The sequence below is a fragment of the Homo sapiens genome, chromosome 1 (genome assembly GCF_000001405.40).
Source record: "Homo sapiens chromosome 1, GRCh38.p14 Primary Assembly".
Classification (NCBI taxonomy): domain Eukaryota; kingdom Metazoa; phylum Chordata; class Mammalia; order Primates; family Hominidae; genus Homo; species Homo sapiens.
The window spans coordinates 44266536-44294116 of record NC_000001.11 but is presented as its reverse complement, the minus strand read 5'-3'; the positions used below and the strand labels follow the sequence as shown (position 1 = coordinate 44294116).

The window sequence follows — 27581 nt, the reverse complement described above, 5'->3', positions numbered from 1 at the left end:
CCAAGAGGAAATTAAATGTCATTTGCCCCCTGCACAGCAGGTCGCTGCCAGATCAGACACTCCTGCTCAGAGCTGTGCAGAGGGCACCCGTGGGAGGGCTTATGCCTGCAGCCATGTCCTGTGAGCTGTGGAGACTCCCAGGTGATGGCCTGGCTCATTCCCAGGGCTTTCTCTGCCCGGCTGGGTTCACCCTGGCCTGGAGCCCAGCCCAGTGTTACATGGCAGCCGTGACCCGTGCCAGGCCAGAGGTGCGTGTGTACCAGTAGGGGGAAGTGGAGGGGAAGGGCAGAGCCTGAGAGTAGAGGACACACAGGAGACAGTGAGGTGATCAGCCCTTCCTCAAAGAAGCTGTGTGGCATTGTGGAAAGAACAGGGCTTTTAGAATGAAGAGACCTAGTTTCGATTCCTGGCTTTACTGCTTTCTAGTTGTAGGGTCTTGGGAAAGTCACATTCCCACTCTCATCCTCCATTCCTTTATCTGTAAAATAATAAGGAGCTCTGGCTCCTGACATCTGTGGGGGAAATGTAGCTTCCTGTTAGGACTGGTGCCAGAGTTTCTTACCCCACCTCGCCTGGATCTGGAAGCATGACCTGTAACCCCTTGCCGTGGGGCCTCACTGTGAAGTGAGTGAGCTGAAGTTGGTTGAGGTGGGGTGGGTGGTAAGTCTGGCCAGGAAGGCACAGCTGGTCATCTCTCCCTGCCTCAGGCCTTTCCTTCTTATCCTAGTCCTCTCAACAAGGCATCCCAAGACCTTGATGAGATGTGGAAGGGTAATGGTGGCAAGACAAAGTGAGAGGCTTGCCGAGGTCACCCGGCCTCACCTTGGGGCTCAGCCAGCTCCCTCCAGCATCATGCTTGCACTCTCCTCCCTGTTTGAGAGGACAGCGGGGCTTGCCCCACCCCTTTCTGCCATTGAAGTCCTGGTGGTAGGCCATAGTTCTCAGCTCCGCCATGACATTTATTAACAGGGCTTTGGGAAAATATGTTTTAATACTGCCAGAGTTCTCCCTAGAAAACCCTCCAGCCCCCAGCTCACCCCCATCTGAAGCCTGGCTGTTGGTGGTGAAATTCATTAGTGTTCCCTGACAGGCAGTGGCGACAGAGGCGCTCGCTGTCGGCTTCCCGCTCCCTTGCTCTCGTGCTCCTGCTTCACGCACACTGATATTTAAAGCTGATGGGCTGCTTATAGACTTCTTGTACCATGACAAGTTTGGGGAGGGGGTTGGGGAGGAAGAGACAGACAAGGAGCCAGCTGTCATGCTGGTATTTCAAACAGTACTCTCTCCTGACCCTTTGCAGGCTCCAGCAAGTGTATCATCTTTCTGAAGCCTGTGGTTGGAATTGTAACCTGCAGCCGTCCCAGAGGAAGGGGGCAAGTGTGGGGGCAAAGTGGGCTGATAAGTCAGCAGTGCATTCCCCCCAGGGCTGTGGGCAGGCAGAGGAGAATGGAGGGACCGCACGTGTGCATGCACGCACACTTGCTTGAGCCTGGGGAATTGCAGCTGAGTCTCTGAGTGCCCTTGACATTGCCCTCCCACCAGCAGAAGTGAGATGGCCACTTCTCAGTAGTCACTCCTGCAGTGACCATTCTGTGTCTGCTATGGTTATCTTCTGAGTGGGCCTGGAAGCTCTCTCAAGAGAGAAATCAGGTTCCACTAGCCTCTGTCTGAGGGTCCTGGGTCTCAGTGATACTCCTGAATATAAAGTGGTCGGTTGAGGTAGAAAGCTCTCTCATTTTGTGTCTGGCCTGGGGTCTTGGCTTTTGTTCCTTGGTATTTGTGTGCTGATTCTTTGGATTTGGAGAATGAGTCCCAAGGTGCTTCCTCTATTCATATCTCCTTCCCTCAGCCCAAGCTTCTTGGAATTTGTTTTGCAGCTGTGGAGTGGTTCTGGAACTTTCCCTTTTCCTGTCACCCCCAGCAAGCCTTCTCCAGTATCCTTTTCCTGACCAAGGCACTGTCTTGTCAATGCAGGTGGCCTGGAAGCATCTCCAAAGGCCATTACAGGTTTGGTCTCAATCGATCTCCTTATAGCCAGAATCCCTTCTATGAGGCCTTATTTGTAAAGCATGTTACCCTTGGTTGGCTCCTTTAACCCTCACAGAGCAGGGCATGGAGGTGAAGTCACTTACCCCAGGACACATGGTCATTTGACCAAGTTATCTTAGTGTAGTGGAGCTGTGGTACTGGACAGGGGTTGAACCGCATGCCCCACCATCAGGGGACTTTGATGGGGAGAATGAGTCCCAAGGTGCCTTCTCCATCTGTAACTCCAGGTCCTGCAGTAGGCGAGGTCACTGGGGAAAAGGCCAGGCTCCTCTCCTCCTTGCTGTTTTGCCTTGTCAGTGCCATCAGTGCTGCCAATGGCATCCTCAGTTTCAGGCGCAGCAGTGTGGGACTCTCTGTCTGAGGGGTTATTCATAAAACAACCTGGACATCTTCTGTTGGAGGTGGAGCCAGCCTTTTTTCTGTGTAGGCTGAAGTGTATTCTTGAACTGTCAAGGACCAGCTTTGATGTGATCTCCTATAGTATCCCCAGCCCTCGCCAGCACTCTATCCTGTAGGCTTCTGCAGGGGTTTATGGCCAACCAAGGGTAACATGCTTTACAAATAAGGCCTCATAGAAGGGATTCTGGCTATAAGGAGATCGATTGAGACCAAACCTGCAATGGCCTTTGAGGATGCTTCCAGGCCACCTGGGCAGTGCTTTTCTCTTCCTGTTTTTGCTGATTCCTATCCCGACTAAAGGCACTGAGTGCTAGGCCTGCCATGCTGTGTCTTCTGACATGGTGGATCTTGCAGGTGAGATAGATACTAACCAGCTTTGATAAGTAGGAGGCTCATGCATTAATTTTTTATACATCAGCAGCGGCCAAGAGAGTGAATTCAATTATGAGTCTGCCTTCTCTCTACCCTCCTCCGCTCAATGTGGTAGTTCAGAGCTGAGACTAAGGAACCTGTTGAAATGAGAAACCCCTATTTCCTAGCTTGACCCCCTCACTAATTCGGGTTAAATTGCTACGCTGTTGCAGTGGTGACACATTGTGTCTGCCTCTGTTTGTATAAGAGGATGCAGTGGGGGAGGAAGGACCAATTTGTGCAGAGATAAAAGGTGTCACGGGCAGATAACTAACGTCCCAGCCTCGTGCCTGCTCTCATTGTTGCTCAATTTGCTCCATGTGTAAGCTCAGCCTTCCCCTCTTTCTTCCTTCCCTCCCCTTGGTCATATTTTACCTCGATGCCACAGTGTAATGATGCCCTGCGTAGTGGGGGAGGAGATAGGCACCTCTGGCTGACAGCCCTTCCTGATAACCAAATTCCAGCCCATCCATCACTAGCTACTCTCCTCAACTTGAGGAAAAGTGATCATGAAAGGCGGGCTGTTTATCACCCAGGGTCTGTTTATCTCCTCTGGGTGGGGGAATGGAAACAGGAGAGACAAAGAGCTGTGTCCCCAGCTAAGTGCTGCCTCGGCTGGAGTAGCCTGAACGTGCTGGATACCGACTCAAATCATGCTGCCCATGGAGGCTCTGACTAGATAGGGCTCCCTGACTGGGATCCAGTGGGAATGGGCCCTTTCCTGAGGCTCAAGACTTGGAGAGAAGCATAGGAAATCGTGGCAGTTATGAGCTGCAGGGCCGCTAGGGACAGCATTCTTTGAGAGTGTATTGGAATGAGCAAGTGTGGCAACTCTGCATGGAAGCAAGCCCACCCACCCCTCACAGGTGTCCCTGTGGCAGGATCTTCCAACTGGCTGGTTGGTTGGCTTCTACTGGCCCACTTCTCTCCAAGCCTGGGCCTTCTGTGCCTCCATGGTCCCATGATGACTTTGAAGAAGACAGAGCCTCTCCATACTCCCCCATTTCTGCATATCACATGGAATACAGTAGTTTGCTCCTGCAGGCGAACAGTATGTGCCTGTCCTGGAGCTGGTGGGCACCAGGACTGCCAGCCCACATCACTCCAAGATCCAGGTCCCACAGCCTTTCTTGAGAGGGAGAAAGGAGCCAAGGAGGCCTCCAGAGTCTGCTGGTCTCCCTCCTCTTCAAAGGTTTGAGTCTGCTAAAAGTGAGAATGACATGCATCTCCCTGAGTTGGGTCTGCCCCTAAGTCTTAAAGAGATGAAAGCATGAAAGCCAGAGTGTCCATCGCCTTTTCCAGTATGGTGCCTGCTCTTTTGCTGGTCCTGGCTGTTGGCCTGTCTGCCAGTCTGTCCGGCAGACCTCAATGGATGTGCAGCTTTCCTTGCCTCAGCCTAGCAGCTCTCCCCCACATCTGCCTCACCTAATCTTCAAAGCTGAGCTCCCGCTCACAAGGGCTTCACCGTGGCCATACCCATTAGCGAGGGGGGTGTTCCCCTAATGAGCTATCCCCTGCCTTGGCTGGCGCCGGGCTAGCCACACCTGTTTGCCATCAGGGCTGTCTCGGCCCAGCCAGTATGGCTCAGTTGCAGGTGGTAGGGCTGAATGAGGAGTGGGGTGGGGAAGGCTGGCTCCTTTTGCTTTGTCCTGTGTGCTTATAGGGGTGAGGGGCAGTTTCTTACACCCCTGTTTCCTCTATATTGTTCTCTTCTTTCTAAGTAGGGGGAATGCTCTTTGCTTTCTTTTCTGTTATTCAAAAGGAGTAATAAAGGAACTTGAGTATCTCATCTCATTTTCCCTGGATGGAATAGAGAGGAGCTAGTTAGGGTCTGAGGGTAGGGCTTGTTAATCTTTTCAGGTGACCCTGAGGGGCCAGTGTGGTAATAGCAGGATCATATGATAAATGCCAAGGGCGGACCCCCTTTCTGGCCTTAGACCCATAGTCTTTGGAAAGCAATCATGTCCCTTGGTTTAGAGCCCACAGGCAGGACTGGGGGACCCTTCCTTAAAGGGGCCTCTTGCATTCATGAAGCTGAAGGAAGTTTTGATTTGGTTGAAAAAAATCTCATTCCTTTTTATGGCCTGGACATAATTGGCTCTTTTCTATTGGCCATCAGTGATGTCATTCCGGCCCTCATAAAGAAGGGGAAATCACACCTGTGGACTCGGTGCATAAAATTTCATTGGGCAACAATAATAAGCATGACCAGATGATGTTTGGGCAGTTGGGGAGCTTTGTGCCCAGTGAATCCAGCTGCATGGAGACCTGGGCACCATAAACCTGCCTGCACGTTTGTGCCCGCAGGCTAGTCCAGGGCCCACTGCCAGTGGCTCTTTTCTTGGAATCACAATCTGGTAGGAATGTACAGCATTCAGACCCTTTGTGCCTGGGGAACTTTTTTTTTTTTTCTGAGAAATTGGTGGAACCATGTACCCACTGATACCCACCGACCTTAGGCTCCTAAGAACCTTGAACCCAGGTGTGACCTTGAGCAGTGACCACTATGCTACTTGCTTCTCTAAGGCCCAGGCTTTGCCTTCCCAGGGACTGTAAAGAGCCCTGAGTGTATCTATACAGCTTATGCCTGTGCAGTCAGAAGCTTTAGGTTCTGTTTCTGGTACTACCCTTGCCTTGTTGTATGATTGAGCAAATCCTTTTCTTCTCTGAGTCTCAGTTTCCTCTTTTGTGTAAGGGATGATGACCACTCTAACCCACCTTCCTCACAGATTTCCTGTCTTGATCCTCTCTAAGCTGGGGTAGGGTGTGTGGTAGAGATGTGTAACTGTCTTCCCATGAGGCACTTGCAAGCTCAAGTTCTGGCATTTGACCCTATGTCTCTCATGAAGATGGGGCTGGGCCCTGCTACATTTGTACAGCTTGTGTCTTGGAGTCACAGGGCTAGGATGACCCAGAGGACTACTCAGCAACCTGAATTCCTGCGAGTGAGTCTACAAACTGCATGTGTACCTGCAAGTGACTAGAGCCCCTGAGTGAGAATTATAGTGCCTAACCCCCATGTGCATCAGTCAGACATGGGATTCAGAATGGCACTCAGGACTGCTGCTGAGCCATATCTCAGGCTGAGTATCCAACCTGACTGTCTGGTCTGTCCTCAGTGTGGCCCCTCTGGGATAGGTCTTCCTCTGAGAAGAATAGGCATCATCCTACTGACCTAGACCCTTCCTAGGCAGTGGAAATGCCTACAGCTATGTCTACCCTTAAAATTCTGCTAAAGAGAGAGCCCATCCCTCTCCCAGGGCTAGCCAGAGCCAAAAGGACTCCTGGCCTGTGTCAACTAAAAGAATCAGAGAGTACTGCAGTTGGCTAGGGGAGAATAAGATCGAGGCTCCCTGCCTTTTGCTGGCCAGTCCCCCTGGCTTATTCCTTTGTAGATTCTGCTGCTTCTGGTGGCCCCCTTCACTCATAGACCTTAATGTGATTTTTCTAAAATAGCTGAGTTCAGCAAGCATTTCCACAAATATGAAGGATAAGGAACATGAAAGAAAGATTGAAGGAAATAGAATTATTGTCAGATTACAGCTCTGCTTCTTAGGCAACCACATTCTAGCTCCTAAGGCTACCTTTCATCCTTAAAAACCTTGCCTCATTTCCTCATGTTCTTGGTCCTTCATCCCACATGGGCACATCTATCTGGATACCCCTTCATCATGTTGGCCTCAGCCAGAATTTCCCTTCCAGGAAACTGACCAGTTGTAGTTAATGTCACTGTGCCACTTGGATGTTTGAGAGTAGCCTCTTATTCAGGTGAGATATCTTGGGTCTTATAAAAGTAAATCCTTACTATACACTGCCTGAAACAAAGGGATCAATTTTCTGTTACTATCTGTCAAATATTTGAAGGGTAATGGAGGGAAGGCCGGACTGCCTTGAACTTTCTGGAGTGGAATCAGTCATCTCAACTGGATTCTTGTAGCCAAACTTTCTAGAAAAGGATTTTGCACTTGTAATCTCCGCTGTCTTATCTCTCACTCTTTCCACACTTTGCAGGTTGCCTTCTGCCTCCCACACTCAGTCCACTGATGCCCCTTTCGCCAAGATTACTTGTGACCTCCTCGTTACTAAATCCATTGGGTTTTTCTCAGCTGTCATCTTGCTTGACCACTCTATGGCAGTTGACACTAATGATTTACATTTCAAACTCAAAAATCATTTCTATATATTGCAGAAAGGGGAAGCATGCTTTTATCACAGTTTAGGTTGACCACAGGTAATATGAAGTGGGGTCAAAAGAGCATGTCTGATCTTAGGTGTCTAATACCCTGAGAAAGGTCTGGGGCCCTGCCCTTTGGGAATGGGGATAGGTTGGGTGAGTCCTGACTCACGGCATATTGTCTCCTTAGGAACTCTTGAAGTTGATAAGGATATGTGGCTTGGAGAAGGGAACTCTGATGGAAGCTTTCTGGACTCTCAGATCTTGGAAGGGTTCTGTGAGGAAAAGATGGAAGTATTGTTCTCTGTGTTTTCTAAAGACATACTTTGGACCCATGGGTAGAAGTTACAGGGAGACAGACTAGTGTTTAAGGAAGGATGTTCTAAGAATCGAGTCCAAAATTAGATCTGGCCGCTTCATGAAGTGAGGTCCTTGTGTGTGATGATGGTCTGATGGGGGTAACCTGGTTTCATTTTAGCTCAATAAAACTTGCAAGGCATTAGCCTGGGCCCTCTGCTCACCTCGCTCTATTCTGTTCCCCGGGTGATCTTATTTACTCTCCTGGCTTTAATTTTACTTAGGTTAATGATTACATTAATAATTATATTAATGATTTGGCAATCCATGGTCTTATTCCAGACCTCTCTTCAAAACTAGATATCCAGTTGCCTCTGAGACACCATTCCACTGCCAGATATCTCCTAGGTGCCTCAAACTAGGCACCTCAAACTCAGCAGACATCGAGTGCTTATTGCGTATCAAGCATGTGTCTAAAACTGCATTCCCAAACTCATGCTTCCTTCTAGTGGCGTACTAAAGATGGGGCAGGGGAGCAGTTCTCCCACAGTTTGGGCAGAAAGTGGGTATGCTACAGGTAGAGCATTTTAAAACAATAATAAAATTGACCAAATGCTGGCCTGCTCCAGATGTCACATAGGCTCTCCATGCCACTGCTTACTTCTTTGGATCTATCTTAGTGAGTAGCATGAAGCTAGCCAAGCAGAGGTCTACTGCTTTCTCACTGGGTCCCACATTTCATTTAGTCACTGGGGCCTCCTTTACATCTTAATGTTTGTTCCTTGATCACCATTTTTTCCACTACTGTTTCTCTCTACTGGCTTCTACCCTGCTCTTTTAGTCTATTATTTTTGCTGCATCCAGAACAATCTTGGTAAATCACAACTCATCAGAGGCTCTCCATTGCCTGTAGCAAAGCTCTTCTCTTAGGAATAAGACTGTGATCTTTCCTGGCTGATACTTCCAGTATTGTCTTCCTCCATCCTTGCATATGCCCCCATACTCCAACTTAAGGCTTTTTTTGTCTTTCTTTCATTGCCCATACCTCTGAACAAACTGAGCCCTTTACGGTCAAGAGTTACATCTTACTTTTTGACTCGTAAGTTCCTGACCCTTGTTAAGCATCAGTGCATGTTTGTTTGAATGGATTTGTCTGAGTAAAACCATCACCAGCTAGAGGGGGAGATAGTTGATAAATTCTAATTTAAAGAAAAAAAACAAGAACAGACCCTTGATTTGAATTCTGACCTCTTCTTATCCTTCTACCTGGCCTCTTCTCTATCTGAAACAAACCTGTAGCCAGAGGCTTAAATGTGAGCTGAAACCCCTGCTCATCTATCTCTAAGTCATATACTCTGCCTTTCTCTCCTCCTATCTTGTCTGTCTGCCTCTCTGCTGTAACAAAATAACAAACCAGTGCATAGAAAGAACATACGCTTTGGAGTCAGACAGAACTGGGTTCAGTTCTTGGCACTATCATGTTTTAGCTGTGGGACCTTGGGTAACCTCTCTACATCTCATTTTCTCGTCTGTAAAATGTAGACAACAGTACCTGTGTCTCAGCATTGCTTTGAAGATTAAATGTGAAAATATAAGGTACTTGGCATACTGTAAGCCATTAGGAAATAGTGGCCTGCTGCTATTATTTTGGAAAGAATTTTTGGGCTCTCACACTTGGATCTGAGGGCTAGAGCTGGAGCCCAGTGTCCATGGTGCTGGAGGTGGGGTTCCCTTTCTTTGGTGGGGTGGGACCCATGGCTAATGGGTTGACCTTTTGAGGTCTGTTTGTCTTGTATGCTCTGTTGGACTTCCCATCTTAAGACTTCATACCTGGGACATGGATGCGCCCAACTTGTTCTCTCTTCCCTTTTTTTTGTAGGCTCCCAGGCCAGTGCCAGTACTTGGGCTTGCCAGTGGCGGATTACTTCAAGCAGTGGATTAATCTGAAAAAGGTACTGTGTCTGAGCCCCAACTGGGTGCTTCCCCTGGTGCTCTTGTGCCTCAGAGCTCCCGTCCTTTGCTTTCTTTTCTTATATCTGTTCTCCCTCTTTTTCTTTTTGTTCTTCTCTTTTCTTAACTTCATCCTTTTCCTTAGCTAATATGCACTGAAATGTGGTTATTTCTGACTGTGGAGAGCTGCTTGGGGATCCAGCTGCTGGGCAGATTATGACACTGCCCTAGTTGGTGTCCCCCAGACAGGCAGAGAAGTCCCAGTTAAGGAGATTTTGGGGGGCTCTTGCTCAGAGCTGAATCTGTGGGCAGAGCTGGCTTGTCTCTAGGAGAGACATGGCACTAGCTGAGCCTCTGGGAAAGTATTCTCCTTTGTTATCATCATCAATGTGGTCTCTGACCCTCCTAACTGGCCCTGATATATCACTCTGGTTGGGAGGCAGAGTACACTTAAGTTGGCTTTGTTCCTGCCTTGCTCCAGGAGAGCCTGGCTCATGTGAGGAAGAGCCATGGAAACTAGAGTCCAATTCCCTTTGGGCATGAGGGCAGAGACTGGAACTTATGTAGAATCAAGCACCTGGGGAGTTGGTGCTCAGGCTATGGACCGGCAAGGACCATGTGTGGCTACGATAGTGAGCCCTGGCAGAGAATGAATCACTTAGAAAACTGTACTTTCCTAGCAGAGTATCCCTGCTCTAGAGGAATCCTTGCTCCAGGAGGCCCAGTCCACTAGGGAGACTCACCCCCATAAATCATTCTGACCTAAGGGCAGCAGTCCTGGAACAGCCTCAGGAACCTCATGCTACCAGTCAGAGGAAGCTCAGAGAAAGGAGAACACACCGGGGGTCAAGGTAGTGGCTCCCAGGGGGCTTAGAGAAGAGAGAGGTCAAGGGGGGTGAGGCTAGGTATGGCGAGGATTTGAGTCTTGACCTGGGCATTCAAGGAAGGTGGGATATGGATAGGAGGAGGAGAGAATGCTTTCTCAGCAGGGAGGGCAGCATGCTTTTGGTGTGTGTGGGGGCTGGAGCTAAGCAAACATGTGGAGGAGCAGTGGAAGAGAAAGCTTTATAAGTATTTGTGCCACACTGACAATGACCTTGGACTTAGTTCCATGCTTTGTGGCATCATTTGTGAAGTTGTTTGCTTTCCACTGGTGGACAGGTGCTTTGCACTTGGTTTGTTTGCAGTTTGACTCATACCCCCTCTCCTGCTGATCTCCCATGAAACTGGGCAGCTGCTGCTTACTACTCCTCTTGTGCTGAAAAAGCTACGCACTCCCCTGGCTTTGGGCCTTGCTCTATGGCTTGCCTTCTGTCTGAAATGTCCCTCAGTCATCTTCATCAGACATATTCCCTGCCCTGGAAGATTCACCTCAGGTATCACTTCTGCTGAGAAGCCCAGCAGTCAGTCTCTTGCCTTGAGGTTCCTTGGCACTTGGGAAATCACTTATCTCAGTTGAAACTGAATCCATGTGTATTTCCTTCCAGACATGGCCATCTGGATCACAGAGATGAAGTCTGGTTCCTCTCTGTGTCTCCAGTGGCTAGGCCAGGGCTGGGTATAGAGTATGTGCTCAGTGAGTAATTGCTGGCTGACGGATTCATCTTTGAGAACTAGTTCCATAGAGGTCCCCCAAGGCAGAGCTAGGCATGTGGTGGGGCTAGGCATGGACCCCTGGAACATAGCATACCAGCTGTCAGAGCACATCTGAGGCTGCTTGCTGGCCTCAGCAAATGCAATGTGAAGGCCCGGCCAGGCGAGGCAGGCGCTGACCATGAACAATTACCCTGTGAAGTTCACTAGACTTTTTGGTGTATGGATAGCTCCCTGCCTCCAGGTTCCTTGGCAGAAAGGCAGGAAAGCAGCCGACCCATGTGGTAACGTTGTCACTCAGGGCCACCTTGGTGCTGCTGGCCCAAAGGGTGGGGGTAAAGGCAGGCTGCCCAGAGTCTGTTCAGTTTGGTTCCCCTGCAGACTGTGCTGACCTGAAGAGGAAGGGAATAGTAGGTACAAGGCGAAACTGAGGACTCTGTTGCTAGTTGGCCTTGTGATTTCCTCGTGTGAGGTAAGCTGAGCAAGTCTGGGAGACATAAGGGGTCTAACCTCTTCCTCTCTGCACTCCAGCCACTTTGTATTGCAAATGTGCTTAAAGGCCCAACAGGAGAGGTGGCTTAACTCTGGACTTTAGCTCAGTCCTTACCAACAGCCATTCAGGACATAGAGGCTGCTGAGTCTGGAGGCCCAGGGGCATGGTACTCTTTCTGACCTTTATGCTGTGTGACTTGGTGCAGGCTGCACTAAGATTCCTGCTTAAAAAGAGTAATGATAAAAGCAAAGCCAGAGAGGTCATTGCCAAGGTTGCAGGAATATTATGTAAAAGACTTACTCCATGCCTTGTGTCCCCTGTGTGACCCAGGCTCTGGTTCTCTACAGGGTCCTCTCCTGTCCTTGATCTTACTTTGTGTTTCCCCCTTCCCTTTCTTCTCTCTTCCTCCTCTGCTCCCCCAGCAGAGCATTACTCCTTGAGAAAGGTGGGAAAGGTCCTGGTCTGCTTGGTCACCTGAGACTTGCCTAGTGAGTGAGCAACTGGGCATGAATTCACCATGCCTATTTCCTAAGACCTCTAATCTGAGAAGAGGCAAAATGTCTTTCAGCTGCCCTTACTTCTCCAGAAATGGTGTGGGTTGCATCAGGAAATAGGAACTTTTCAATGGCCAAGTTTCCACATCTCCTGCTGCCACCTACTTCCCCTGTAGCAGAGTGGAGCAGGCCCGTGTTTGCTGACATTTGGAATGTCATTGAATGATCTTATATTCTTATTGAGCTGTCATCTTAGACAGGACTTGGGGCCCTGCTCCCAGCTCCCTCCAGGAGATCAGAGCTGTCACTGAGGGGCCTGAAGAATACATACACACACACACACACACACACACACACACACACACACACACACACACATATGCACATGTATAAATATACACATGTATATGCATGTGAATGCATACAGCCCAAGTGAGTATACTCCAAATTGCATGTCTGTATCCATACATGCCTTCATGTATATGCACATATTCCTATAAGCAGTCACCTGCAGAAATATTTGCAGGCATACCCAGACATGAAGGTGTTTATACATACATATTCATAAAGTATAAAGATAACATGCACACAGGTAAACATATATATATCTCTTCATCGATAAATGAATATATATATTATATATATATATATATATTTTTTTTTTTTTTCGAGACGGGGTCTCACTCTGTCACCCAGGCTAGAATGCGGTAGTATAAACATGGCTCGCTGCAGCCTTGAACTCCCGGGCTCAGATGATCCTCCCACTTCAGCCTCCCAAGTAGCTGGGACTACAAGTGCCCACCATTATGCCTGGCTAATTTTTGTATTTTTTGTAGAGAAGGGGTTTTGCCATGTTGCCCAGGCTGGTCTCAAACTCCTGGGCTCAAGCAGTCCTCCCTCTTCAGCCTCCCAAAGTGCTAGGATTGCAGGCATTAACCACTGTGCCTGGCCAATAAACAAATATTTTGAATGCCTTCTGTGTGCCAGGTACTGTGTGAGGGCCTGGGGATATAAGAAGGTGGATGTTGAATAAATAATTTTAGTTGCATTGAGTAACACTAAACAGTTCAGAGTCATGGATCATGTAAGAAGGAACTAACTTAGTAGGGTAGGGTCAGAGAATAATTCCCTGAGGAAGGATGTCTAAGCTGAGACCTGAAGAATGAGTTGAAATTGGCTAAGCACAATGTAGCATGTGGTGAGACCCTGAGGTGAGGAGAAGAAGCCTGGCAGCTTCATGAAACTAGAATGTAAGTTCTAAGAGGAGAAAGAATTTGTGTCTTTTGTTCACTGCTCTACCCCCATCGCTCTGAATAGTTCCTGGCACACAGATGTTTAATCCTTATGTGTTGAGTGAATGAATGCCTAAAATGTAGTGAAGGTGGCAAAAGGAGAGTGGCATGAGATGAGGCTAGAAGGAAGTCAGGAGCCTATAGACCACACTTTGATTTTGACCTTGATGTTTAGGGTAAGAGGAAGCTGTTAAAGGGTATTAAATATAAGAGGGGCATCATCTGATTTGCATTCTAAGAAAGTTCTCTCTGGCTGCAGTGTAGAGGGAGCTAAGAGCAGATACAGGAGACCAGTTGCTGGTTTTTCTTGATAGAGCTATGTTTGGCATTTTTGGTGGGACAGATCATTGTGTGGGTGACATTGCTGAACTTGTAGCATCCCCAGCCCCTGTTGATTGAATACCAATAGTGACCCTCTCCGAGTCGTTGTGATAATAAAAAATATCACCCTGTATACATTTCTAGTGGCCTGGACAGGGTGGGAGTGGAGGAATACTGTCCTTGGTTGAGAACCACAGAATTAGGCTGTTTCTGTGGTCCAGGTGAAAGATGGTAATTACTTCGATTGAACTGATAGCAGTGGAAATGTAGAGAAATGGGCCAATTCCTGAGTATTAAATGGTTTAGTCAGTTCTGCTATAATGCAACATAGAGATTTCTGAAAATCACCATGCTAGAGAAAGTCATGCAATAAAAATTCAGTTAGTGACACATAAAAGATAGGAATCTAATAAAAATGGTAGCATAGTTTTACACATTAAATGCTTAAGAAATACATAAATACCACAATAAATATGGTACTTTACTCTGTAAAACCCCGAAGTTTGCTTATAGAAATGGGCATGAGAAGGGTTGCAGCTTGTGAGTTATGAAGTAGTGGAAGAAGATCATCTGAAATCAGATGGAAAATTGTAACCAGATGAATGTGGTCCATAACATGTGGTGATCTAGGTGGCTGGTAGATGTTTAAGATGTGTGCATGTATGTGTTTTATGTATTCCTACCCAGCCCTGTTCAGTGAGGTATAGTTTCCTGTGTTTATCTAGTGTTTCTTGTGAACAAAATTGCACATTAACAAATGCAAAATTTGTGTTACTATAAATTGTTCCCAATACATCAGTTGCATTGGACAAATTTGCTTTTTCAAAGAGTATTATAGTAGCACTGATTATATAATAAACAGCAAATGGTGATTGGTTGTGAGGGTTGAGGATGAAGGAAGAGACCATGATGACCCCAGGATTTATGATTTGAGCAACTGAGTGAATTGGAATGAGTTGACTGAGATAATGGGAGAAGGAGAAGTTTCAGAATTGGAAAAGAAGATGAAGTCATTGTGGGGCATATGTGTTAAGATGCTTTTGAGACATTGAGGAGGCAGTTAAGTACATAGGTGTGGGGCTCAGGGGTGAAGCCTAGATAAGAGATACAGATTTGAAGACCAGGCATGGTGGCTTATACCTGTAATCCCAGTGCTTTGGGAGGCTGAGGTGGGAGGATCACTTGAGGCCAGGAGCTCAAGACCAGCCTGAGCAACATAGTGAGACCTCATCTCTACAAAAAAATGTAAAAATTAGCCAGACTTGGTGATGCATGCTCATAGTCCTAGCTACTTGGGAGGCTGAGGCAGGAAGATCCCTTGAGCCCAGGAGTTTGAGGCTGCAGTGAGCTGTGATTGTACCACTGCACTCTAGCCTGGAGTGCAAGACCCTGTCTCAAAGAAATAAAAAAAAATTGGCAGTGTTATTGGTCTGTGATTGATAATTAAAGCATGGAAGTGGATGAGATTGCCAAAGAAGAGGGTATAGGGTGAGAAGAAAGCCTAGGATAGAACACTGAGAAATACCAACATTTGCGAGATACAGAAGGAATAGTCAAAAATAGAGAATATAATAAATAGTCCTGAATTACAGATTGCATTTTGTGTGCTAGACCTGTGTTTTCCAACATAATTTCCACTAGCCACATGTGGCAGTAGATCACTTGAAATGTAGCTAGTATGATTGAAGAACACATTTTAAATTTTATTTAATTTTAATCAATTTAAATTAAAAACTTTCTTGGCCAGATGCAGTGGCTCATGCCTGTAATCTCAGCACTTTGGGAGGCCGAGGTGGGCAGATCACCTGAGGTCAGGAGTTTGAGACCAGCCTGGCCAACATGGCAAAACCTCGTCTTTATTTAAAAAATACAAAAAATTAGTCGGATGTGGTGGCGGGCGCCTGTAATCCTAGCTACTCGGGAAGCTGAGGTGTGAGAATCACTTGAACCCGGGAGGCAATGGAGGTTGCAGTGAGCTGAGATTGTGCCACAGCACTCCAGGCTAGGCAACGGAGCGAGACTCCATCTCAAAAAAATTAATTAATTAAAAACTTTCTTGAAAAATTTTATGTTTAGTACAGCCTGAGTTGGTGAATCTACATTTTAAACTGTTAATTGTATAAAATCTAAATACAGATTAAGTATTTCCTTTTTTTTTTTTTTTTTCCTGAGACAGTCTTGCTCTGTTGCCCAGGCTAAAGTGCAGTGGCATGATCTTGGTTCACTGCAGCCTCTGCCTCCTGGGTTCAAGTGATTCTTGTGCCTCAGCCTGCCAAGTAGCTGGGACTGCAGGTGTGTGCTACCATGCCAAGCTAATTTTTGTATTTTTAGTAGAAATAGAGTTTCGCCATGTTGTTCAGGCTGGTTTCCAACTCCTTGCCTCAGCAATCAACCTGCCTCGGCCTCCCAAAGTGTTGGGATTACAGGTGCGAGCCACTGCACTCGGCAGATTAAGTATTTCTGATGAAGATTTAGCATCCCAATTGAGATGTACAGTAAGTGTAAGTTACACGTCAGATTTCAGAGACTTGGTATGAAAAAATGCAAAATGTCTCGTAATTTTCTGTATTGATTACATGTGAAATAATACTTGGATATACTAAAATAAAATATATTATTAAAATAATTTTGTCTGTTTCATTTTACTTTTTAGTGCGGCTGCTAGAAAATTCTAAGTTTCATATGTGGCTCACATTATATTTCTATTGGACAGTGCTGTGCTAGACGCTATGGTTATGTACCTACATTGTCTAGTCCTCGCAGGACCCAGTGCAGTGGTTGCTATTATTTTTCACATTTTAAGGTTGAGAAAACCAAGGCATGGAGCGATGATGAAACTTGCTCAATGGTTTCACAGTAGTACATGGCAGAGCCAGAACTTAAATTCAGTTTTGCTAAATGCTGAAGAGACAGAGAGTAAAAAAGTGATAGAAGAAGAAAGACTGTAAGAGTGTGGTATTGCAGAAACCAAGAAAAAGTGTTTCAGAAGAAGAGGAGTGGTCAGTTCAGAGAGGGCTACACAAGATGAAGACTAAAATTTGAGCCCTGAACTTGTTAATAACAAGGGCCTCAGTGACCTTGGTCCTGAGTGGCATGATAGGAACAGGAGCCAAATTGGAGTGAACTAAAGAGTAAATGAGAAATGAGGAGGTGGAGAAACTTCAACTTTTTCAGAAATGTTGCTTTGAAGGTGAGAGAAAGGACAAGAGCTGTGGTGGGGCAAGTAGGGGTTAAAGCGGGTTTTGTTTTTAAGGTAGAAGGCATGTGTTTTTCTGTAGGATCTATTAGAGAAGGAAATCCTGTTGAAGGTGCAGGAGGGAGAAGAAGCCAGTAAGGGAGGCCTCTGAGGAGGTGAGAGGAGAAGGGGTGGAGAACCTAGGCTCTTGAAATTGGCTCTCTTTAGGCGGAAGGTCCCTGCTTCTATTGTGACAGGAGGGAAGGAGAGGAAGATGGGCACAAATGGAGGTAGGTAGGCTTGTAGATTTGGTGGCAGCAGGTTGAGGTAGTTACCATCTGATGGCTTTTATTTTTCTGTGTGAAACAGATGAGTCATTTGCTGATCACTAATAGGGAAGGGCTGGGAGAGTTTACAGGCTTGCCGTAGTTCTACTAAAGAATAGATGTGTGAGCTGACTTGAGAAGTATAGTAGGATTTCTATGCAGTGTTGAGGATCCAGTTGAGGTTGATGGTATTAATTCATTGTGGAACCACTCTGTTCAATTGTATGACTTTTCTTTATTGGACCTCAGCTGCCTGGTTGTGGGCATGGAGAAAGTAGACATTTAGATTCATTCAGGGTGGAGATTTTCCTCAGGGAGGTTTGATGAAAGGGATAGGGAATTGAAAATATTGGTAAGAGAGCAGTTGGCAAGATGGATTATGGGATCTAAGCTGGATGTTGGGGGAAAAGAAGATAGCAGGGGGTCTGATGGATATGGAAAAAGTAAATAAGTACCAACAAAATGAGGAATTGGTATAGTGGATATAGTTTAACATGCCAGATGGAAGGATTAGAGATTATGGTTAGAGAATAGGTGTCTGAATTAGTGATTTCAGGGATGGGGCAGTTCTAGGTGTTGGCAGATTCCAAGGTATGGCCATGGAAGTGGGTAGCTGATGTTGTATGGAAAAGAATGTTATTATGAATAAGGAATCAAAAAACAGAAAGGATGGAAGAGACCTCCATAAGGATGTATGTGTATGTATGCATGCACACATAAAATATGTTTACCTATTGCATATGCATGGACACATATGTATAAATGTAATACAAATGCATACCTACACACATAGCCATGCAAGTGTGTGCACACTGCACATACTTGCAAATTGTGTGGAATTCCCTCTGACGCCTGGGCCTGATAGGGTGGTGTTATGGTTTGGATGTTTGTCCTCTCCAGATCTCATGTTGAAATTTGATCCCTAATGTTCGAGATGGGACCAAATGGGAGGTGTCTGCATTGTGAGTGAATAGTTTAATGTCCTCCCTGGGGCAGGAGTGAGGGATGTGAGTGAGTTCTCACTCTATTCATTCCCAAGAGAGCTGGTTGTTAAAAACAGCCTGGCACTTCCCCCTCTGTCTCAACTTGCTTCCTCTTGCCGTGTGATCTCTGTACAAGCTGGCTCCCCTTCACTTTCTGCCTTGAGTGGAAGCAGCCTGAGGCACTCACCCGATGCCTAATCTTTAACTTTTCCAGGCATCAGAATCATGAGCCAAACAAACGATTTTTTAAAATAAATTACCCATCCTCAAGTATTCCTTTATAGCAACACAAAATGGACTGAGGGAGGTGGGCTTCTGGGGAAGCAGGCAGGCAGCCTTAGGAGGATTCTGAGTCAGTCCTGGCAGACAGGGCTCAGCCAGTCAAACCCAGCAGCTGTAGGGATAAGGGCCACCTAGAATTTAACAGACCCTGATATATCAGGGTATGAAGATTGCTGCTCCACTTTTCCTCTGCCATCCGTACACTATGCCTTGCTGCAATTTCTGGGTGCTCCGAAGAGGATTGGATGAGGACCAGCTCTTAAAGAAAATCTTGGGTCCCTCCAAGAAACATTCTGTTTCTCCCTCTCCCCTGGGAGGGTGCAGCAGGAGAAACTGCCAAAGGGAGGGTTGATGTCTACGATTGAGTGTGACTTTTCCTGACCTTGGAGCATTCAGAGTCCCAATCAGTGCAGTAATAAATTAAGGGCTTATGGAGGAATAAATTCTCGGCCTTAATGAAGTTCTTTGCTGGGGGCCATAGCAGGTCAGCAGGTCGGGATGATGCAGATTGGAGGCTTCAGCAAGTGGGCTGAGCTGGCTGGGAAGTCATCAGGAGTGAGGGGATCCAAAACCCTGCTAGCCAGTTCACTTTTTGGGGGCTGTGGGGATTAAGCTGCTACAGAAGCTAGGACTCTATAGAAGGGTGGCTGCAAGGTGCTGCCCACAGAGCTCCTCTACTGGGGCCATTCAGAAGCTAACTTGGAAAAAAAAACAAACAAAAATGAAAACCAAGAGAGGTATGAATAGCTAGGGGCTCTGCAAGCTGTTTGTTTTGTTTTATTTTGGAGAGGGGGAGAGTTTGCACTGAGGGCAGTTACTTCTGGGTCCCTCTGAGGTCAGAAGCAGGCTGGGGCTGTGGTCTCGGTCTTTGGCATCATCCAAAGTGCAGAGCATTGTCCATGGGGCAGTGGGCAGTTGTGGGCTGGTGTCCTGATGGGAATCAGCTCTGCAGGCCAAGTAGATCAGGGCCTTCATCTGTCTTTGGGAAAAAACACACGCATAGAGCACTAGGTATAGATGAGGCAGAGGTGTGAGCACAGGCATGGGATAAGAAGAGAGTGAGTGGGAGAGCAGCCCAGAGTGCTTGCTGCTGGGTTTGATGCTGGAACCCTGGGAGGGAACAGTCTTGGGAGCTGGAGGCTACTGAATTGTAAGCTGAAACAAGAACCTGAGCCTTGAGACTCCAGATCTTGAACTCTTTCCCCTTTCATCCCATTCTCTGCAACATCTGCTGTTGGGGTAAGCTCTTGGAGTGTAGTCCAGAGATAGAGGAGGGAAAGTACTGTCTTTGGAGTCAGGGGCTGCTGGAGCTAGAGGGAATGTCTCCTTTCTTCCCATCTCCCTGCCCCCATGGTGTAGTGCCTAGCCTGGGCTTTTCCTTTAAATATGTCTTACAGCTGTCTGAACTCTGAAATTTCTTTCACTCCTTCCCTCGCCTTGTTAACATGTGTTGCCTTTGGGGTAATCAGGGAAAAAATATTATGTCCTTTTACAATTACCAGGTTTTGGAATATTAAAATGTCTCACTGCATCGGCACTGTTACTTTGATTGGTATTCTAACCTTTGACTAGCCCATAAAGCGCGCCGCTCCTGAAGCCAATATTGCAGGACTGAAATTTAATTCCGAAATGATTCCAGATAATAGGGAGACAGATAATATATGCATGAAGGATATTATGTTTGGACTAACTGCAGCAGGGCCAGGGCTGGGGAGCTGAATAATAGCCCAGAGTGAGTTATAATCTGTGGGACAGAAATGCCTTACTGTCAGGGCCAGGAGAGGAACTCTTAAATCAAAGGCACAGGAAAGGGTGTGATTGCAGGGTGCTTGTTTTGACAGGAAGAGCACCAGAGCCAAGGGTAGGTATGGAAGGCTCTGCTCCATCTTTTCTCTTGAGCAAGATACCAAGGCCCTGGATGATCCAGCTCATTGCACCATTCCTATCTCCACATCTCCTGTCTCTCCATAACATTCCAGCCATATCAAACTTGTTGTTTTTCAAATATACATGACTGTCTCACCTCCCCTTACATATACTGTTCCCTTTTCTTACATCGCCTTTCCCCTTTTAGTGTGTTGGGAAACTCCTGTTCATCCTTCAAAACCCTTGTGGGTGATGCTTTCTCTGATGTTCCCCCATCTCTGGTAGAAATAGTCACTTCCTCCTTTGTATGGCTTCAGAACTTTGTATTGAGTGTATCACATGCTTTTGTAATTATCTGCTTACATGTTTTTGTTTCCCACTATACTGTGAGTTCACTGAAGTCAATATACCACCCATCTCTGAATTTCCAGTGCATGGCACTGGACCTGGCACACACTAGGCATCAACAAGCATTAATTTAATCCACACTGAATCTTGGGCTAGACTGATGAGCTCCAGAGTCTGGATGCCTATTCCTCTGCTGGAATTCCCAGACAAATAAACTTAGAGAAATGAAGAAACTTGCCTAAAGGCACATAGCCAGGAAGAGGTGAAGCTAGCATTTGAACCCAGGTCAGTGTGCTCTTTTCTCCAGACCATGTATCTTAGGGAAGTGGGCAGGGAAGGAATTAGAGGTTAAGGTACGAAAGACAGAAATTCATTGCCCTGAATCCTTCCTTCCATAGCCCAGGACTTAGGTCCACTTTGCTGGAAACTGCATTAGTTCTTAGCATTTATGGGACTCAGGTCCCAGAAGGGATTGTGCCTCCTATTGCTGCTGTTGACCTTTGGACAGTTATTCCATACAGAATACATTTCTCGATTGTGAGTTTGTAACCAAGAATCAGGACAGTACCTTGGGAAAGGTACCTAAGTGTGGTTTTGGAGAGCTCTTAGAGAAGTAGGCAGACAGAGTACAAGGAGCTATTAGCAATGTCAGAAAACGCCACAGACATTCCCTTCGTTCTTCAGGACTTGGTGGAACTTGTATTTTGGGTATATAATGATAAAGTACATAATGGAAAAAAAAACTATAGTAAATTTGTTTTTTTAACGTGGATTTGTAGTTTATTTTATTTTATTTTATTTTATTTTATTTTATTTTATTTTTTGAGACAGTCTCTTGCTCTGTCACCTAGGCTGGAATGCGGTGGCATGATCTCGGCTTACTACAACCTCTGCCTCCCAGGTTCAAGTGATTCTCATGCTCAGCCGCCAGAGTAGCTGGGATTACAGGGGTGTGCCACCATGCCCAGCTAATTTTGTATTTTTGGTAGAGATGGGGTCTCGTCATGTTGGCTAGGCTGGTCTCGAACTCCTGGCCTCGAGTGATCCACCCGCCTCAACCTCCCAAAGTGCTGGGATTACAGGTGTGAGCCACTGTGCCTGGCCTGTATTTTATTAATTACAATGTTATCTGCAAAAACCTGGAAAAATAGTATGGCTGTATGTGAGATTTACCCCCCATTTAGTCTTCAGGTGATACATGGTATATACGCTGAGTCCTGGGGAGGTGGGATGTGGCTCACAGCTAGAAACTGCTGTGCAAAGGAAGAGCTTTGGAGCCAGAGGAGTCTGGCTTGGATTTCTAATATTGCTACTCACTAGCTGTGTGGTCTGGAGCAAGTCCCTCTCTGAACCTGTAAATGATGATTAATATCTGTCACACAGAATTTAGGCTCTGGAGTCAAGTAGACCTGATATGGAATCTTGGCTCTACACTTACTAACTGTGGGGTTTTAGAAAAGTCACTTAACTTCTTTGAGCCTTGGTAGCTCCCTCTATAAAACAAGAAAAATCATATCCACCTTCTAGAGTTGACCTGAGGATAAAATGGTAGCACTATGCCCCTGCCCTTCGCTTGTCCCTGGTACTGGCCACTGGAGATGAGATGACTAGGCTATCGGGAGAAGAGGAGTCAGGGGGACGGGAGATCCAGGTAGACATACAGGACATTGTGGGCAGGAGCTAGGAAAAAGAGACTCTCACAGCAGAGTTCATGTGAGCATTGGCAAGGATGAGCTTAATGCTGTCCTTGGACCAGCTTACCCTCAGCTCACACTGCGGGACAGAGTCGATCATCTCACACCCTTGATTCCAGCTGCCATCAGCATGCCTGGCTGTCCAATGGAGTACAGAGGCACATTCACCTTAGGTCAATTCCTGGCCTTATCATCTACCTGTGTTATGATCTTGGACAAGTTACTTACCTTCTCTGAACCTTGGTTTTTTTCATTTGTAAGGTAGAGATAATTAATAGTAATAATAAAACCAGGTGCTGTTCTAAATGCTTTATATGAATTAACTCACTTAATCCTCAAACAATTCTAAGGGAGAAGTTCTATTATTAGCCATTGTACAGGTGAGGAAACTGAAGGGCAGAGAGGTTCATCAGCTGGTGAGTGATAGAGTAAGTATTTGAGTCTAGGCAGTAGACTCCAGAGTCCATGCTCTTAACTGCTTTACTTTGTTGCTGCCAGTGCAAAGGAGGGAGGAGTCATTTTTATTTGGGGTGTGGGAGAGAAAATCAAGAAAGGTTTTGGTGGAGATACTTGAGTGTTGAAAGATGAGTATATTCTCAGGTGACGGTGCAAGTGCATCCAGGCAAAGGGAGAAGTGTAAAGAAAGGCCTGAAGTGGTGAAGCACGTTGCAGGATTAGGGAACTACACACAGCAGTTTTCAGGTATTTTAAGCTACTCATGTGGACCAGCCATGTGTATGCTTTTACTGGAGAAAGAGGAGTGAGAGTGAGCATGTGCAGTAAGCAATCATTGGCCAGTGTCTAGAGTGGTGCCAGCCTAAGCTGCCTTCTAAGAGTGGTACAGTAGCTCCAGAAAACTGCCACGTTTGTGTGCATGAAGGGAAGAGGGAGCCCGTGGGCCAGGGATAGCAGGGAGGGAAGTGGCCACCCTACCTTTTAGCATACTAGCTATGGACAGTCTGAGACCGTTGGCAGAAGACCTCTATATCCTTATGGTAAATGTGGGGAATCAATTAGATCATGCTTGTAAAGCTCTTAGAGGAATGCTGGCACTCTGTGTTAGATGAGCAGCTTGGCACACCCTCAGCTGGAGAGCTAGCCTGCCTTGCTCTGCATCCCTGGTGGGTGTGGCCACACAGGGGAAAGAAGCAAGTGAGGGAATCAGCTCAAGGCAGCTGGGATTCTGTCTTTCTCTCAAGGTTCCCTGCAGCTGCTGCAAAGTGACCTCTCCTCTGGAGTTCTTATAGTGCCCTCCGTGGCAGGCCCACCCTAGGGCCTGCCTTCTCTTGCTGGCTGCTGCTTAGAGTCTGTATTCTGTCAAATGAGGCAGCCTCTTAGTCCTAGTCCCATGATGAGCCTCACCTGCCTCTCTTGAGTCCTTGAGGAAGTGAATTCTGGGCTTGCTCTGGAGCACAGGAAAGTTGGGAGCTCTGCTGGGTGTGTTTGGGACCTGGATTTAAACCTAGGTGTTCTATTGAGTGTGTACTCCAACACTTTGGGCCAGTTACTAGGGCCCAGTGCAGCTCAGAGCCCATGCCTCTTTGTTATTGTGTATGGGCTGGTCTGTCTGGGTGAGGAACCACAAGCCACTTGAGGAAAGGGACTAGATAAGCCGCTTCTCTTAATCCACAGAGCTAGGCAAATAGAGGGGACTTCAGTAAACTAAGAGGCATAAATACTGTAGAAAAGCTGAGGACAGTTTGGGAGAAAGATGGGGTGTGGTGGCAGGAGAAAGATGAACTTATCTATTGAGTCTGAGAGGGTAAAGTTAGTCTGCCTTGTCCCAGGGTTTCTTTTGTGTGTGTGTGTGTTTTTTCCCCTTCTTTTGATTTTGCTGTTGCTACTCTAGACCCTGAAACTGGGAGTAGTTGCAGAAAAGATGAGGAAAAGACAGGGTAACTTCCTTCAAGGCCAGAAGCACAGTCCTGCCTTCCATCTCCCACACTGTCTGTAGGTCAGTCTGCAAAGGCAGGTTTCACCATGTTTATCAGTAATAATAGAACACCAATGCATTGAGCCCCAGTTGATGCCATCTGTGTTGGATACTTTACACACATGATTGCATTTAATCCTCACAGCTACTGAGGGGCTGTGAGGGCTATTGTCCCTATTTTATGGGTGCTGAAATAGAAACTCAGAAGCTTGCCTACCACATGACCAGGAGGATGCAAATTCAGTTTCTCTCCTTCCATAGCTTCCCTCTTGTCACTTGGCCCATAGCAGATACCACCTGAAGGCAGTCTGGCCTGGTTTGAACTGGAGACCCAGGCACACACAGCAGCCATTATCAGTTGTGTGTTCAATGAAAGTCAGTGAATGGGCAAGGATAGGGATTGGCCTTGTACTCCAGGTCTCTTGAGAGTGACACCACTGTGTGTGTAAGAGGGTGTACCCATTTGTATATGCATGTCTGTATGTGTTTAAAGAAGTGCATTCACCCAATTGGGGAGGTCTGTGCAGGCTTGAGTATGTCTGTGTATATTCTTATGTGTGCACGGGCCCACAAATGGGAATGTGGGTGAATGTGCCAGTATGGGATTTGTGGTCTGACTCTAGGCACTAGAGGTGGGCAGATGAGGCCCTTGTCCTTGGAGGGCAGTATGGTGTAACATAGAGAAATCTGGACTGAACTTGACGCTAGAAACTAAAGACGTGGGCTCTGGTGTTGGGTTACTTGCCCTTTCTGAGTCCTCAGTTTTCTCATCTAACAAATAAGGGAGTTGGATGAGGGAGTTTCTTCTTGTGGTCTCTTGGCCTCTTCTACCTCTGCCACTATGAGATCATTCATGGAAACTTAGGCTTTCCCTTTTTGCTCCCATCTAAACATGAGACAGATGCAAGGAAGACAGCAGAAGTTCCACTTTTACCCTTACCAACTACAATGTCTGGCCTTGGGATGGCTCCACTGTCCCATTGGAAGAAGTTGAGGGTCCAGGGAAGGCAGGGCATTGCTTGGCATCAGGACAGGAGAGCTAGGGACTCAGGTATTGTGGAGGAGTTTGGATAGCTGTCACTTGTCACATTTTGGGCTGGCTTGGACTGAAGCCAAATGCTTTTAGGCTTTGGGCTTCACCATGAGAATACAGGGTGAGAAGAAGCTTGTTGTCTCCCTGTTTCTTTGTGGGTGGAAAGGAGAGGGGCCTCTGAGTACCCTAACGGCAGGGAGCAGCCTAGGCCCTTCCTCTGGTCTTTTATCCTCTATTTGTTGTCTTGGCAGACACCAAGTGATGCCCAGGTAGAGACTAGGAAAAGTAGCTGGATGTGTGTTCACATTCATATGTGACCGTGCTGGCTCAACCCATGGTCTTTCTGTGAGTTGACTTGGCCTGCTGTCACCTGCCTTGGAGGAAGAGTGGTTTGAGCTTGGGTGCCTTACCTTTCCCTGGCTGACTCCTCAGGGCTGATCTGGATGGCTGCTATAGATGGGACCTTTGGCTATCTCAGTCTTCAAGTGGGATTGTAGTAGGTTTTTATTTATTTTTCCCATTAATTGGTTTTCAGTTCTCTTTAATTTCTGAATTTGACCAGCTGGGGCACTAGAGAAGAGATGGGCAATGTATGGTACAGTGCCCTCAGCCCTAATAAAGACATTTCTCTCTTGTTCGGGCTAACATCCCCTGGACCTAGGTCTCAGGTAGCAAGAGTCCTGTGCTCTGCCTGGGCTGGGACATCTATATTCACCTCCAGCCACCAGTCACCCTATGGGTTGGGACCTCTGGACTCAGAGGTGACTCAGACCTGATCTCCACCTGTACAGAGCTCCTGGTCTGGTAGGGAAGATGGATGGGTCAATAGGCAGATGGGGGAAAAACACAATAGAAGTGGTAAGTACAGTGATAGAAATATGTATATAGGGTGTGTATGAATCATCTGTGTTAAAAATTATTTTGAATTCAGCTCTGTACTGAGTAAAAATTTACAAGAGACAGAGGATCCATGTAAACACGTCTGTATGTTCCTGTGCCTCCTGCCTGTGCCACTCGATAAGCTTTGAGCTACCCCGATGAGCTAGTCCCTGCTAGTGCCTGCTGTGACTTCTTCAAAGGCCCTAAAGCGGGGCCCTCAAGATACCCTAGATTGCCCTACTTGGAAAAGAGGGTGGCCCTCCTGGGGAGATAAGGTCCAGGCTGGCTTAGGGAGTGTTTTTGTGTGGGTGTGGGCAGGTAGGCTTGAGTTTGCACAGGCATGAACCCAAGCGTGTTTATGGCAGCTGTCAGTGGCCTGTCCCCAGCACCACAACCAGGTCTTATGTTGCTAGGCCTGGGCTTGGCACCTACTTGGCTGCAAGCAGGCAGGCGGGCTGCAGGCAGATCCCAGGGCAAGCCTGAGGCCTCCCCAGTGGTGTGTTTGCTGTGCCTAATTACCCGGCAGTTGTTTAACTATGCAAGCTGCATGCCTGCCTTTATTGCGCTGTGATTGCTGAGCTGCCTATGGGGAGTGTCATAAAAAGATATAAAATGCCCATTATCTGTCCAACGCCCTCCTCCTGGACTGTGGGTGTTTGTGTTTTATTTTATTTTTATGGCTTGAGGGAAGCTCTGCAGGAAAGAAAGGGAGGGAAGAAGAAGGAGGGGAGGAGAGGCCCATAGGAATTGGGGGTTGGGAGAATGAGCCCCTTTCTACTGTGGTCAGGAGGGCTCTCCTAACCAGAAGGATGATATGGAAATGGCAGATCTCCAGGGTCAGGACAAACTGCTTAGGAAATAAGCCCCAGATCTTCCCCTCTTCATCCACCTACAAGTCTTGTAGCTTATGTTTCCACCTTACCTAAGTATGCTAGCTTCTCCCTGCTTTAGGCCCACTGCCTTGGGTGCAGGACAGGGTTGTGAGAATGGTCTCTCATTCCCACCCAGTTCTTTACCAGCTTGGATGACTCAGATTGTGTACTGGCCTCCTAGAGCACCATGGCTTGCTTTGGGGCAAATATCATTAGCACTGCCACCTGCTCCTATTGCTCTATTGAAGCCTTCCATCCCTTCAGCTTCCCTTCTCTTACTAGCTACAGTGGTATGTTCAGGACGAGCCTATCTAGGAATTCACTGGGTCTTAAGGAAACTACGTAGACTATGAGAGGGAAGGGAATTAATACAGATTGAGGACCTGCCCTGTGCCAAACAGAACCTGCGTAAGGCACTGAGGGCAGAGATCAGAGATCAGACGGGGACCCTCCCCTTGAAGAGCTCACACTATATAACCAGAGTGCCAAGGTTTATGGTAGGTATTCAATAAATGTGTGTCAAATGGGATTGAGTTCAACATAGCCATTCATTCATTCATTTTCATTCAGTAAATGGCTTTTGAGCACCTACTGGGTCAGGCACTCTGCCAAGCACTGGGGATAAAATAGTGAGCAAAACAGACAAAATCCTAGCCGTCACTGGTCATTAGAGTTTATTGGGAGAAGGACTTAAGGATTTAAACTCTGGATATTGTG

At 46.9% G+C, this 27581-nt stretch overlaps 1 protein-coding gene across 16 annotated transcripts in view; it reads left to right on the top strand.

The window, feature by feature from the left end:
- Window positions 1-27581, top strand: part of ERI3 (ERI1 exoribonuclease family member 3) — a 134210-nt gene that overhangs the window by 61163 nt on the left and 45466 nt on the right. For all 16 annotated transcript variants that reach the window (XM_017002305.2, XM_047430152.1, XM_047430144.1 and 13 more), the window contains one exon: window positions 9210-9282. In XM_017002305.2, coding sequence (XP_016857794.1) covers window positions 9210-9282 — 73 coding nt within the window. The remainder of the gene's footprint in view (window positions 1-9209; window positions 9283-27581) is intronic.